At 41.6% G+C, this 15,826-nt stretch overlaps 1 long non-coding RNA gene across 1 annotated transcript in view; it reads left to right on the forward strand.

The window, feature by feature from the left end:
* Positions 1-2,951: 2,951 nt before the first annotated feature.
* LINC03105 (long intergenic non-protein coding RNA 3105) overlaps positions 2,952-15,826 on the forward strand; it is a 38,341-nt gene continuing 25,466 nt past the window's right edge. The window contains exon 1 of the long non-coding RNA NR_170980.1: positions 2,952-3,122. This is a non-coding gene — a long non-coding RNA (long intergenic non-protein coding RNA 3105). The remainder of the gene's footprint in view (positions 3,123-15,826) is intronic.

Genomic DNA, 15,826 nt, shown 5'->3' on the forward strand with positions numbered 1-15,826 from the left:
GTGAGCTAGCACTCTCAGCAAAAATATATTTTAAAGAACCGTTACAACCAAATTATGAGTTATCATTATGCCACTGCCCTCCACCCTGGGCACCAGAACAAGACCTTGTATCCAAAAACTAAGCAAAACTAAACAAGAACAAAAAAAAAAAACTTATAAATAAACTTTGAAGATTGTGTCATCTGTGTCCTTCCCTGCCCTCCAAGCTATCAATGTTAAATATAATGGTTATTGAGAAAATGGTTAGATATTATTAAGAAATTTCTATATATCTTCCAGCTGAGAATAGGTATTCTGTTGTGGCCCAAATATTTTCTCACCGCTACCTTCAGGGTCTAAACTAGCAAATCAGGACACCTGCAGAGGACAGTTGGCCGTTTTCAAATAGAAAGAGAAATACCCCCGTTCATGAGAGTAATCCAGTGATTTTCAAAAAGACAAGTCAGACTGACATGCAGCGCAGTCAGGCCACAATTACCCTGGAATAATCACTTCACACAGAATGGTTGAGGAGACTTTCTAAGATGAGCAAATTTGGGCAGCATAATCCTTGCTTATTTATTCCCAGCCCCCACTGCCCGCCTGATTCCTAATGGCTACCCTACAATGTGGTCAGCAGTGGGATGTAGCGTGGTGAGAGAGGGGCTCAGGGACGGGATGAAGGTCTTTCCTGCATTATCAAAATGCAGGTTAAAAAGTTGTTAAAAAGATGTCCAAATGTTCTAATTCCTACTGTTAAATAGCTGCTAAGATGCATTATACAACAGACCCAGGTAAGGGAAGGAGCATGTGCATTTCAAGTCTCAGCTCACTTCTTAATTAGCTGTGATACTCTGGGCAGGTGACCCCAACTATACGAGCCTGTGTGCCTGTCAACCCAAAACAATCCTAAGCAAAAACACCAAAGCTTGGGGCATCTTGCTACCCGACTTCAAACTATACTACAAGGCTGCAGTAACCAAAACAGCACAGTACTAATACCAAAACAGATATATAGACCAATGGAACAGAACAGAGGCCTCAGTAATAACATCACACATCTACAACCATCTGATCTCTAACAAACCTGACAAAAACAAGCAATGGAGAAAGATTTACTACTTACCAAATGGTGCTGAAAGAACTGGCTAGCCACATTCAGAAAACAGAAACTGGACCCCTTCTTTACATCTTATACAAACATTATCTCAAGATGGATTAAAGTCTTAAATATAAAACACCAAACCACAAAAACCCTAGAAGAAAACCTAGGCAATACCATTCAGGACATAGGCATGAGCAAAGACTTCAGGAATAAAATACCAAAAGCAATCACAACAAAAGCTAAAATTGACAAATGAGATCTAATTAAACTAACGAGCTTCTGCACAGCAAAAGAATCTATCATCAGAGTGACCAGGCAACCTACAGAATGACAGAAAATTTTTGCAATCTATCCATGTGTCAGAGGTCTAATATCCAGAATCTACAAGGAACTTAATTTCACACACACACAAAAAAAAAACATCAAAAAGTGAGTAAAGAATATGAACAGACTATTCTCAAAAGAAGACATTTGGCTGGGCGTGGTTGATCAAGCCTGTAATCCCAGCACTTTCAGCCATGGAGGCAGGTGGATCATGAGGTCAGGTGTTCAAGACTAGCCTGGGCAACATGGTGAAACCATGTCTCTACTAAAAACACAAAAAATTAGCATGGTGTTTTGGCGGGTGGCTGTGATTCCAGCTTCTTGGGAGGATAAGGCAGGAGAATCACTTGAACCTGGGTGGCAGATGTTGCAGTGAGCTGAGATCCTGCCACTGCACTCCAGCCTGGGTGACAGAGCTAGACTCCGTCTTTAAAATAATAATAAATAAAATAAATAAAAAGAAAAGGAAGAAGGAGAAGAAGAAGAGGAAGAAGAAGAAGAAGAAGAAGAAGAAGAAGAAGAAGAAGAAGAAGAAGAAGAAGAAGAAGAAGAAGAAGACATTTATGTGGTCAACAAACACACAAAAAGGAAAAAGAAAAAAGCTCATCATCACTGATGATTAGAGAAATGCAAATCAAAACCACAATGGGATACCATCTCACACCATTTGGAATGGCAGTTATTAAAATGTCAGGAACAACAGATGCTGATGAGGCTATGGAGAAATAGAAACGCTTTTACACTGCTGGGGGCGGGAGTGTAAATTACTTCAACCATTATGGAAGACAGTGTGGTGATTCCCTAAGTATCTAGAACCAGAAATACCATTTGACCCAGCAATCTCATTACTGGTTATATACCCAAAGGAATATAAATCATTCTAGCATAAAGACACATGCACTCATATATCTATTGCAGCACTGTTTACAATAACAAAGACTTGGAACCAACCTAATGCCCATCATTGATAGACTGGAAAAAGAAAATGTGGCACATATACACCATGAAATAATATTCAGCCATAAAAAGAATGAGTTCATGTCCTTTGCAGGGACGTGAATGACACTGGAAACCATTCTCTTCAGCAAACTAACACGGGAACAGGAAACAGAACACCATATGTTCTCACTCATATGTGGGAGTTGAACAATGAGAACACATGGACACCGGGAACAAAACATCACACACTGGGGCCTGTTAGGGTGTTGAGGTCAAGGGGAGGGAGAAAATTAGGACAAATACCTAATGCATATGGGGCTTAAATCCTAGACGTCAGGTTGATAGAAGCAGCAAACCACCATGGCACATGTAAACCTATGTAACAAACCTGCACGTTCTGCACATGTATTCCAGAACTTAAAGTAAAACAAACTAACAAAAATGCACTAAGGCTGAGGGGGAGTGGGGGTAGGGGCAGGAGTCAGGCGGGGGTGGGTGAGTCCTGGAGTTTTATCCAGTCATTGACACTGATGTGGGAACAGCCCAATCAGGCGCGCAGTTGGAGAGGACAGGAGAGGAGGGCGTGGCTTCTGGCGTTTGGCGGGTCTTTGTCTCTTGCTGGCGCTGGCACAGGAACTTGGGATCCGTCTCCTCTTTCGCCTCCTCCGCTTTGGGAGCCCCGGGCTACTCTTTCACAGCCCCTGTTGCCCTGTGATCTGTAGGTCCTTGGGGACGCACAGTTAAGATGACAGGACATCCTGGAAGCTGGGAAATGGTGAGTATACGGGGTTCGGCATCCCGAGAGGGGACAGCAGGCTGTGAAACCGGCAGGACCGGCCCCCACGGTTAGCTCCGAGTCTCCCGCAGCTTGGCCCTCAGTCCCCTGTGGCTGCAAGATGGCCGCTGGGCCAGCATCGAGGACCCCCACATCCGGCCTGGCCCATCCGGTGCTGTCCCTGGGCAGCGCCCTGCTCTGCGCCCACAGCCATGAGTATTTCCCAGATTGTTCAGGGAGGCCTGGTGGGTCATCAGGGAAAAACTGCCACTGGGTGTTTGCGTGGGAGGAGCTGCGGCCCGTGGGGTCCCCAGTCTCTCTTGTTAAAAATTAACGGGAGTCTATGTTAAAACGTTAACCAGTTTATCTGAACAAACAGTGATTGGTGAAATGGAAAGCACCCAGCCATGATTTCTGGTCCACCAGAGGGGCATAAAGGAAAGGCTTTCATAAGATGCATGAGAAAGCAGCCCAAATTCAAAAATTGGTTCCAGTTATGTAGTCACCTTATTTGAACTATCCAGATGGAAATGTCCTGGTTACATATTCAGAGGTTAATTGCATGTTTGCCATTGGTTAAACGTGCATTTTGTTTCAGGCTAAGATAATGCTTTATAGGAAATGTATTTGAGTTAGGTTTTAGTTTTTGTTTTTTTTTTTTTAACCTATGAACCCAGGACACTAGAGCCACTTTAGTCTAATTTTCTGCTCTTTAATTATTTTAACACTCCAGAGGAGGACTGGTTTTCTCCTGTGTTTTTTTAATATATGGCAAGTGGAACCTCTAATCGACCACCCTGTTTTTCAGCCTAACTCAGGCTTGTGGTAAAATTATCAGTTCCCACTTTCTTTGCTGCATTCTCAAATGCAACACAGGAGAACAGCTTTCCCTTGCAAATTCACAATGCTGTTAACTATTTGTCCTTTATTATACATTTCATTAAAGTTTTCTATTATTGGATTTCTTTCTACTTCTCCCTACAGTTCTGCCCATATTTGCTTTTTATATTTAGAAGCCTCCCTTTTGGGTGCATAAATATATATAGCTATATTCACTTGACAAATTAACCTCTATTATTATTGTATGGTAAACTCATTTCATGCTTGTGAGAGACATTGCTAGAAAGTCTATTTTGTCTAATTTAAGCATAACTACCATTGAACTCCTTTGGCTATTATTTGCATGGAATATCATTTTCTATCCTTTCACTTTTAGCCTATGCTCTTAATTCATAATTGAGTCTCTTGTAAGCAGCATATTACGAGGTTTAAAAGTTTCATTTATCCACTCTGTCTGCTTTAGTCTCTTTTGGCTGTTATAACAGAATATCACAGACTGGTAATTAATAAAGAACAGAATTTTATTTGACTCATGATTCTGGAGGCTGGGAAGGTAAAAGAACATGTTACTGGTATCTGTTGAAGGTCTAGTTGCTGGATAATAACATGGCCAAAGATGTGAGGGAGAGACAGCTTTTTTTTTTTTAATATATAACAGATCCATTCTTGTTAAAATTAGCCCATTCCCATAATAAGAACATTAATCCATTCATGAGGGCAGAGTGCTTATAGCTTAATTAATTTTTAAAGGTTCCACCTCTTAATTCTTTCACATTGGCCATTTTATCCTAAATTTTGGAGATGACATTCAGTCTACAGAAGTATCTGTTTAGTAGATAATTTAATCTTTTTATTTGTAAGGTAGTGATAGGTAAGCAGTTACTATTGTACATTTGTAGTTTTCTGTCCATTTTAAGTTTGCTTCTTTTTTTTCTGGTTCTGTCTTTCCTGTGGTATTGTTCATTTTTGTTGAGACAAAGTTATGCTTTCTTGCTCAGACTGAAGTTCAGTGGCATATCACAGCTCACTGTAGCCTCAATCTCCTGGGCTCAAGCAATCCTCCCCCCTTAGCCACCCAAGTAGCTTGGACTACTTGGACATGTACCACAACACCCAAGGAGCTTATGATTCTTCCACCTTGGCCTCCAAAAGTGTTGGAATTATAAGCAGGAGCCACTGTATCCAATGTGTAATTTTTGTTGTTTGTGTATGCTTTAATTACTTTCTCTTTTTCTTTACTATGTTTTTTTTTCCCCCAGTGGTTATCATGAGACTTATGTAAAACCTCTTGTATTTTAATAGTCTAGTTTAAGATGATAACAATTTAGAGTATTCTGAATTTCAGTATGTATTTACCATTTTTAGTGACATTTATACTTTAGTATTTTTCATATTGTTAGTTAGCATTTCATCATATCAATGTGAAGATTTCTTCCAGACCTTGGCTGGAGAAGGAAAGAAGGTGTGTTTTGCCTGATTCAGGGACTATAGAGAGAACCAAGTTCTGCAGGCCTGTCACCTAAGTCTCAGATGAGTATGAATTCTTTTGTGTTTTTCACAGATTTTTGCAGTGGCAGGACCAAGTTCAAATGAGTCATAGCCAAGTTTACAGTAAGATGTGGTAGTATTCTGTTTTGAACCGAGGACCATGATTGGCAAGCTTGCCACTTGGTCAAGTGCTTACCCTCTAAAGATGTCTTCCTTGGTCTTTGCCTCCAGCTGGGTGTCACAAACTCTGAACTGGATTCTAAGGCTTTCATGAATGCACTTATGTTTCCCGTGGCAGCTGCATTATGTTGTGGGGGATGTGCATGCCGAACCTCCCATTCTGTCGTCTTGCTTATGTTACTCTCCTTTATGTTTCACTTTCTCAAATGAATGTCAAGCTGGTGATTTTTAGATTCAAAAATTCTAAAATAAATTGCTCAAATTTCCACATTATGTAAGCTATTAATAAAATGTCTTGTAGGTGCTACATATTTATTAAAATTTTTGGTTGTAATTTTAAGCTCACTGCAGGCAGAAAGGAATCATTAACATTTATATTCTTTTTTTTAGTCTGTATCTAAATGATGGTATATTTTAATTCCAGATATTTACTTTATACTGCAGTAATGCTCGTCATATTTTGCAAAATTTATGTTGTTCTTTTATTTGGAAATATAAGGCTTTTTTAGCTCTTGAAATCTATATTATAGTCATATAATTTTATTATGTTTTGTGGTAAGAAGTGCAGCAACATATTGAGAACATAATAAAATTATCCTGTATTTTTAATGATTATTTATTAAATTCCTCTCATTAGAGCCTGTTATTAATGATTGTAATGTATTTTCTGTATAATTTTACTGCAATTTATTAAATTCTAATGACTTAAATTGTCTGCTTTTCATGAGTGCACACAGTTGAATGCTGTAGATATCTAAAGAATTATTTTTCGGCCGGTTGTGGTGGCTCATGCCTGTATTCCCAGCACCTTGGGAGGCCAAGGCGGGTGGATCACGAGGTCAGGAGATCGAGACAACCCTGACTAACATGGTGAAACCCCGTCTCTACTAAATATACAAAAAATTAGCCGGGCATAGTGGCAGGCGCCTGTATCCCCAGCTACTCAGGAGGCTGAGGCAGGAGAATGGCGTGAACTCAGTGGACAGAGTTTGCAGTGAGCCGAGATCGCGCCACTGCACTCCAGCCTGGGCAACAGGGCAAGACTCTGTCTCAAAAAAAAAAATAAAAAAAAAAACGGTTATTTTCCATTGTAAATCTATGTTGTATTCAGGATTTTATGCACGAAAATCTCTCTTCTTATTTTCAAGTCCGTGTTATTGTGTTTCTTTTCTTGGGAGTTATGTTTTCTCAGATCAGTTAAATGTATTTTTATTTTAAAGCTTGATATCATCAGTTGAAAGATAATTTTTAGCTCGGTACACTTTATCTCAATGTGATGTTTAATATATGTGTGAATTAGCTGTGTTTGTTGCTTATAGATATATCTGTATGTTTTTCACTTATGTAAGTATGACATCTTTTTCCTTGTTTTTTTGTTTTTTTCTTTTCAGTTTCAGATAGGCTTTTTTTTTTTTTAAGAGAATTTTAAAACAGAGTCGAAAGAAGAGAAATCAGTTATTTGTCCTCTTGCAGGGTGGGGAGACAACTTCCTTCCCCACAGGTTTGAGGCTATGCCTAAGTGGTGAGTCTTGAGGAGATGCAGAAAGGATCCATCCCAGGCACTTGGCTGGACTTAAGTAAGCATAGCCTTTAGGCCACAAGACCTGATGGTTTGGGTACTGGTCTGGACATAAGTCCCCATCTTCCCAGAAATATCATCTTTTGTCTGCAACAACTGGCTGGAGAAATATTTCAGAAAGATGTGTGTCTGGAACACCCAAAGACATACTTTTCCTTTCTCCTTGGCATAGGCCTTGCAGCACTGAAGAAAGACCAGGTTTGCAATGGAGCCTTCAACAGTCTTCATCCCTATGGAACTCAGGGTCTCATAGGGTGACAGGAGAGGAGACAAAGCTAACTTGGGAAGAGTCTCTGTCCTTCAGCTTCTCCCCTACTGAAACACTATATATTGGGCCCACAGTTCATCACAAAACACACATGCTCTCTTTCTTTCTCTCACACCCAATCTTGGGAACCCAAAAACTTGATGGCAGGTAGCTCTGGGTATCCTTGGTCTGGCATTCACCCACTGGGAATCTAAGCTGTCCTAAAGCTCTTTTCAATCACTTCTCACTGTTTCCAGGCCCATGTGGGTAGGTGTTCCAGGCTTCATTCTTTCAGGCTGATCATAAAGGCACAGTGTGGGAAAATCCCCTACTGTGATGGCCATTGCTGGGAAGCAGGAAAGGCTAAGGGCCCACTGCTGCCCAAGGCTAGTATAGATGCCCTCTGCTCCACTCATGTCCTCAAAGACTGATATCAGGTGCAGCAGCTGCTGTCTGGAATGTTATCAAACCAGGACTGCACAGGCACTGCATTCTCTGTGTGGAAGACGTAAGAAGCAGGCGAGTTGTCCAGGATGAGAGTTTTCCTCAGGTCCCTCCCCAGATGGCTGAGGTCATTGACATAGCAGCCCTGGTGGAACAAACGTGACTCATGGGCTAGGCAACCCCAGAACACCTCACACTGGTCCAGCACACCCATCACAATGTGTCTGGAATTGGTGGGTTCTTGTTCTCACTGACTTCAAGAATGAAGCCACAGACCCTCACGGTGAGTGTTACAGTTCTTAAAGGTGGCATGTCTGGAGTTTGTTCCTTCTGACATTCGGATGTGTTGAGAGTTTCTTCCCTCTGGTGGGCTCGTGGTCTCGCTGGCTCAGGAGTGAAGCTGCAGACGTTCGCGGTGAGTGTTACAGCTCTTAAGGTGGCACATCTGGAGTTGTTCATTCCTCCAGGTGGGTTCGTGGTCTCGCTGGCTTCAGGAGTGAAGTTGTGGACCTTCACAGTGAGTGTTACAGCTCATAAAGGCATTGTGGACCCAAAGAGTGAGCAGCAGCAATATTTATTGCAAAGAGCAAAAGAACAAAGCTTCCACAGTGTGGAAGGGGACCCGAGTGGGTTGCCACTGCTGGCTGGGGCAGCCTACTTTTATTCCCTTATCTGGCCCCACCCACATCTTGCTGATTGTTAGAGCCGAGTGGTCTTTTTTCACAGGGCGCTGATTGGTGTGTTTACAATCCCTGAGCTAGACACAAAGGTTCTCCACATCCCCACCAGTGTAGCTAGATACAGAGTGTTGATTGGTGCATTCACAAACCCTGAGCTAGACACAGGGTGCTGATTGGCATGTTTACAAACCTTGAGCTAGATACAGAGTGCCGATTGGTGTATTTACAATCCCTGAGCTAGACACAAAGTTTCTCCACGTCCCTACCAGACTCAGGAGCCCAGCTGGCTTCACCCAGTGGATCCCCCACAGGGTCTGCAGGTGTAGCTGCCTGCCAGTCTGGCACTGTGCACCCGCACTTCTCAGCCCTTGGGTGGTTGATGGGACTGGGTGCCGTGGAGCAGGGGGCGACACTCATCCAGGAGGCTTGGGCACACAGGAGCCCACCGATGGGGGGGAGGCTCAGGCATGGCGGGCTGCAGGACCCAAGCCCTGCCCTGTGGGATGGCAGCTAAGGCCCAGCGACAAATTGAGCACAGCAGCTGCTGGCCGAGGTGTTAAGCCCCTCACTGCCTGGGGCCGGTGGGGCCAGCCGGCGGCTCCGAGTGTGGGGTCCGCCGAGCTCGCGCTGGCCTTCAAGCACTGCACGCCGCCCTGGTTCCCACACGCACCTCTCCCTCCACACCTCGTCGCAAGCTGAGGGAGCCGGCTCCGACCTTGGCCAGCCCAGAAAGGGGCTCCCACAGTGCAGCGACAGGCTGAAGGGCTCCTAAAGTGCCGCCAAAGTTGGAGCCCAGGCAGAGGAGGCCCGGAGAGTGAGCAAGGGTTGTGAGGACTGCCAGCACGCTGTCACCTCTCAACAGGATCTGCATACTTGTTCAGTCTGGAATGAAGAGAGCAATGAAGAAAACACATTTAAACAGTTCCTCCAGTCATCTCAGGAACTCATCCATATAAGGCCTCATGGTCCCCTCAATCTTTACAGTCACTAGGCAGTCAGCATTGCTGATTGGCTTAATGGAGCTATGCACAAGGGTTTCATCCATGTCAGTGACCATACAGATCGTTCCTTGATTTTTCTCTGTCACCTCTGGGAGCAGGCAGGTCCCTGGGATCTGATAAAACTGATACTGGAGACACTTGAGCTGATCCGACTTAGCAATGGTGTTGACTCCCTCCTTATGTGTGGAGAACTCAGTGGGGGAACTTGACTTGCCAACATGCTGGGTGCAAGAACAGCAGAAAGGTACCTTCTAAGATGTCACAAACATGAGGCCTCTTCGGAGAGCACTTTGGAAACCAGGCCTTGCTTGCTAAGGACCAGGGCATCTTCCCTCCATGCCTGGGTGGTGATGGAGCCTGGTTCCATCTAACAATCCTGAGGGCTCGGCTGGCTGGGTGGGAAGACAGCGGGCACGTTGGCTGGACTGGGCTGGGGGGCATGGGCTGGGGCCTGATTCAGTTCCCGAGAGTCTGACTTCCACAGCTGTTCACATACCCCTTCTCCTTTCCATCACAGGCCGGGAAGAGAGGCGGCCTGTAGGGACGGTGGATGGCCTTGGCAGCAGCTCCCCAGGGTGCCCCCAGCCCCAAATCCCCCAGCAGGAGCTTCAGGATCTTCAGTTTGGGTCTAACCTAGGGAATCCACCTCATACTCATGTTTTTTCAAGTTTTATTTTAAGTTCAGTGGTCCATATGTGATAAGCTTTTTTTTCAACTTTTATTTTAAGTTTAGGGGTCCATGTGCAGGATATGCAGGTCTCTTACATAGATAAACGTGTGCCATTGTGCTTTACTGCACAGATCATCTCATCACCCAGGTACTAAGCCCAGCATCCGCAGCTATTCTTCCTGCTGCTCTCCTTCCCCTCCCCCATGCCATGAAACAGGTGTCCAGTGTGTGTTGTTCTTCCTGATGTGTCCATGTGTTCTCATTGATCTGCTTCTGCTAATAAGTTAGAATAATAATAGGTGGTGTTTGGTTTTCTGTTCCTGCATTAGTTTGCTGGGAGTAATGGCTTCAAATTCCAACCATGTCCCTGCAAAGGACATCATCTCATTACATTTTATGGCTTCATAGTGTTCCATGGTGTATGTGTACCACATTTTCTTTATCCAGTATATCATTGATGGGCATGTAGATTGATTACATGACGTTGCTATTGTAAATATTGCTGCAATGAACATATGTATACATGTTTATTTAAAATAGATTTATATTCCTTTGGGTGTATGCCCAGTAATAGTATTGCTGGGTCAAATGGTATTTCTGCTTCTAGGTCTTTGAGGAATCTCCACACTCTCTTCCACAATGCTTGAAATAATTTACAATCCCACCAACAGTGTAAAAGTGTTCCCTTTTCTCCACAACCTCACCAGCATCTGTTTTTATTTCTTTTTTACTTTTTATTAATAGACATTGTAATTGGTGTGAGATGGTATCTCATTGTTGTTTTGATGTGTATTTATCCAGTTATCAGTGATGTTGAGCTTTCCATGTTTGTTGGGCACATGTATGTCTTCTTTTGAGATATGTCTGTTCATGTCCTTTGACCACTTTTTAATGGGGTTGTTTGTTTTTCTCTTGTAAATTTTAAGTCCCTCATAGATTCTGGGTATTAGATATTTGTCAGATGAATAGGTTGCAAAATTTTTCTCCCATTCTCTAGCTTCTCTGCTCTGATGATAGCTTCTTTGGCTCTGTGGAATCTCTTTAGTTTAATTAGACCCCATTAGTCAATTTTTGCTTTTGTTGCTATTTCTTTTGGTCTTTTTGTCATCAAATCTTTCCTCATGACTATATCCTGAATGGTATTTTCTAGATTTTTTCTTCTAAGGTTTTTATAGTTTTGGGTTTTACATTCAAGTCTTTAATCCATCTTGAGTCAATTTTTGTCTATGGTGTTAGGAAGGGTTCCAGTCTTAATTCTCTGCACATGACTAGCCAGTTATCCTAGCACTATTTATTGAATAGGGAGACTTTTCCCTAATTCCTTGTTTTTGTTGACTTTGTCAAAGATCAGTTTGTTGTAGGTTTTTGGCTTTATTTCTATGCTCTCTATTTTGTTTCATTTGTCTATGTGTCTGTTTCTATACCAGTACCATGCTGTTTTTGTTACTGTACTCTTCTAGTACAGTTTGAAGTTAGGCAATGACCCTTTCAGCTTTTTTTTTTTTTTTTCTTAAGGTTGGCTTGGCTATTTGGGCTCTTTTTTGGTTCCATTTTAATTTTAAAAAGTTTTTTTTTTCTAATTATCTGAAGAATGTCAGTAGTTCAATGGGAACAGCATTGAATCTATAAATTACTTAGGGCAATATGCTCATATTCGTGGTACTGATTCTTTCTCTCCGTGAGCATGGAATGTTTCTCCATTTGTTTTGTGTCCACTCTGATTCCTCTGAGTAGTTGTTTGTAGTTCTCCTTGAAGATATCCTTCACTTTCCTTCTTAGCTGTATTCCTTGGTATTTTTTTCTCTTTATAGCAAATGTGAATGAAAGTTCATTCATGATTTGTCTCCCTGCTTGCCTGTTGCTTGTGTATGGGAATGCTAGCTACTTTTGCAGATTGATTTTATATCCTGAGATTTTGCTACTGCTGCTTATCACCTTAAGAAGCTTTGGGGCTGAGACGAAGAGGCTTTCTAGATATAGGGTCAGGTCATCTGTAAACAAAGATAATTTGACTTTCTCTCTTTCTATTTGAATACTGTTTATTTCTTCCTCTGGCCTGATTTTCCTGGACAAGTTTTCCGAATGGGAGTTGTAATGCGAGTGGTGAGAGAGAGCATACTTTTCTTGTGCCGGTTTTCAGGGGGAATGTTTCCAGCTTTTGCATATTCAGTATGATATTGGCTGTGGGTTTGTTGTATATGGCTCTTCTTATTTTGAGGTATGTTTCTTCAGTTCCTAATTTATTGAGAATTTTAAACGTGAAGGAATGTTGAATTTTATTGGGTGCTTTTTCTGCATCTATTGAGGTAATCATGTGGTTTTTTTATTTAGTTTTCTTTATGTGATGAGTCACATTTGTTGATTTGCATATGTTGAATCAACCTTGCATCCTGGAGACAAAGCCAATTCCATTGTGGTGGATGCACTTTTTAATGTGCTGCTGGGTTTGGTTTGCCAGTATTTTATTGAGGATGTTTGCACAGTGTTCATCAAAGACATTGGCATGATGTGTTGTTGTTGTTGTTGTTGTATCTATGTTAGGTTTTGGTATCAGGATGATGCTGGCCTGATAGAATGAGTTAGACAGAACTTCTTTGTCTTCAATTTTTTTTGGATAGTTTTAGGAGAAAATGTACTATCTCCTCTTTACCTCAAGTCAAATTCAGCTTGCTTGGTAGGCTAGTTCTTACTGTCTCAATTTCAGAACACATTATTGATCTATTCAGGGTTCAGTCTTGTAGAGAGTTTATTTTGCAAGGAAATTGTCCATTTCTTCTAGATTTTCTGGTTTATGAGCATAGAGGTGTTTATAGTATTCTCTGATCGTTGTTCTTATTTCCATGGGATCAGTGATGATATCTCCCTTATTATTTCTATTTGTGTTTGGTTCTTTCTTTTCTTATTTATTTGCCTAACTAGTGTTCCATCTAGTTTATAAATTTTTTTTTTTTTCATAAAAACAGCTCCTGGATTGGTTGAGTTTTTTTTTTTTTTTTTTGGAAGAGTTCTCAGTGTCTCTATCTCCTTCAGCTCTACTCTGATCTTGGCTATTTCTTATCTTCTGCTAGCTTTCAGGTTTGTTTTCACTTGGTTTTCTTGTTCTTTTAACCAAGATGTTAGGCTGTTAACTTTAGATCTTTCTAATTTTTTTTTTTCTTGTGGGAGAGTTTCACTCTGTCACCCAGGCTGGAGTACAGTGGCATAATCTCGGCTCACTGCAACCTCCACTTCTCGGTTTTAAGTCACTTCTGCTGTCTCAGCCTCCTGAGTAGCTGGGATTACAGATGTGAATCACCACACCTAGCTAATTTTTGTATTTTTTTGTAGAGATATGGTTTTGCTGTTGGCCAGGCTGGTCCTGAACACCTGGTCTCAAGTGATCTGCCTACCCCAGCCTCCCAAAGTGCTGGAATTACAGGCATGAGCCACCATGACCGGCCCTTTCTAGCTTTTTGATGTGGACATTAGTGCTATAAATTTCCCTCTTTTCTTGGTTTCTAGTGATTATTTTATTCTATCTTGGTGAGTAGTCAGGGAAATAATCTTAAATTTACAATCAACTTATAGTTTAAATCTAAATAATTAAGTGAGAAGAACCCTTTGTTATTTGAAGGGGATGTTTGAAGATTTTGTAACCGTGCCTTTTAGGTAGTCCTAAATTTCTAATTGTAGTTAAAAACATGCCATTTTCATTTCTAACATTTTAAGTATATGGTTTAGAAGTGGTAAGTATAGTTCTATTTTTTTTTGCAATAGGTTTTAGATAATTTTTGTCTTACAAAAGTAAAAGTGAATACTCATTAATTCTGAAACAAGTTAGTTAGCTTGCTTTAGTTAGATAGCAAGAGAAGGGTCCCTGGAAAGTCCCTGGCCCTTGGGTCAGTGTCTCATCCCTGCATAATATAAAAGGAATCCTGGAAAAAATCAAGCTGCAGACACTAACAAGGTAACTAGCACATGGTGTTGTGCTTGGAGACCTGCCCATGGCTGCACAGACAGAAAAACCTCTGGCATATTTGGATAAAAACTTGTACAAACCTCCAGCTCACTGAGATAAGGGAACAAGACCGACCTGGCATAGAAATGCCTTTGTTTGTCCAGGCACAGTGGCTCATGCCCGTAATTCCAGCAATTTGGGAGGCAGAAGTGGGCGGATCACCTGAGGTCGGGAGTTCGAGACCAGCATGACCAACATGGAGAAAAATACAAAATTAGCCGGGCATGGTGCCTCATGCCTGTAATCCCAGCTACTTGGGAGGCTGAGGCAGGAGAATCACTTAAACCCAGGTGGCGGAGTTTGCTGTGGGCCGAGATCGCACCATTGCACTCCAGCCTGGGCAACAAGAGCAAAACTACGTCTCAAAATAAATAAATTAATAAATAATAAGAAAGTACATCTCAAAAACAAAAATGAAAGAAAGAAAGAAAAGAAAAAGAAAAAAAGAAACGCCTTTGTACTTTGTGCAGTCAGTGGGCTCCCAGGAAAATGTTTCTTCTCCTTTTGTGGGCATAAGCACAGTGGGCTCTGGTGCATTCCGGTCGACACTCTCCTTTATTTGGACTGTAAGTCAGACCTCTGTGAATAATTACTTCAGCCCCTGATTGCTCCCGGGACAAGCTCCTGCGCCAAGCTTTCACTTTAGCTTCTGATAAGTCCTGGGCCAATCTAAATAGCATCTATGAATCATCCCTTCAGCTCCTGATTGGTCCCGGGTCAAAGTCCTGGGCCAAGCTGAGCCACACTTTTTTCAAGACAGCCTGTTAACTAGGCACATTTCCTTCTCTTCCTTTCCCAGTCCATAAAAACCTTGGGCCCCAGCCTCACAGAGGTCACCCCATTCAGAAACTATCTCTGCTGGCAAAGAGCTTTCTTCTCTTGCTTATCAAACTTTCACTCTAACCTCACCTTTGTGTTCACGCTCCTTAATCTCCCTAGAAGTAGAACAAAGAACTTTCGATGCTATCTCAGACTATGAGAGACTGTTACATCTTGGTGCACTGCTGAGACTACAACACTTGGTTTCTTTGAGTTTGACTAAATATTTTACATAGGTGTAATTATACAGTTTTCCTTTTTGACTGTCTTGTTTTACTTAACAGAATGTTTTCGAGATTTGTCCTTATTGTAGTACTTTTCAAGATTTCCTTATTTTTAAGGCTGAATGCTATCCAGTGAATATACGTGCCCTGTTTGTTGAATCTACTCATCCTTAAAGGTACATTTGCTTCCAGGTAGTATGTTTGTGAGTAATGCTACAGTGTACATAAATGTGCATATATCTATTCCATGTTCTGCTTTGCCTGTTTGGGATATTTTTCACACACTGATTTAGTACCATGTGTATTCCCTTGCTTTTGTTGTCTGATTCGTTGATGTTACATCCCCCAAATTATTGCCGAGACCAATTGTCATGAAGCTTCACCCTTCTGTATTGTGCTAGGAATTTTACAGCTATAGATTTTACATTATAGTCTTCATATTTTAAAATTGACACATGTAATTGTACAAATTTTGGGGAAACAATTATGTATATATGTTGTATAGCAATAAAAATCAGAGTACTTAGTGTAATTA

This window comes from Homo sapiens, chromosome 21 (genome assembly GCF_000001405.40).
Source record: "Homo sapiens chromosome 21, GRCh38.p14 Primary Assembly".
Taxonomy (NCBI): Eukaryota; Metazoa; Chordata; class Mammalia; order Primates; family Hominidae; genus Homo; species Homo sapiens.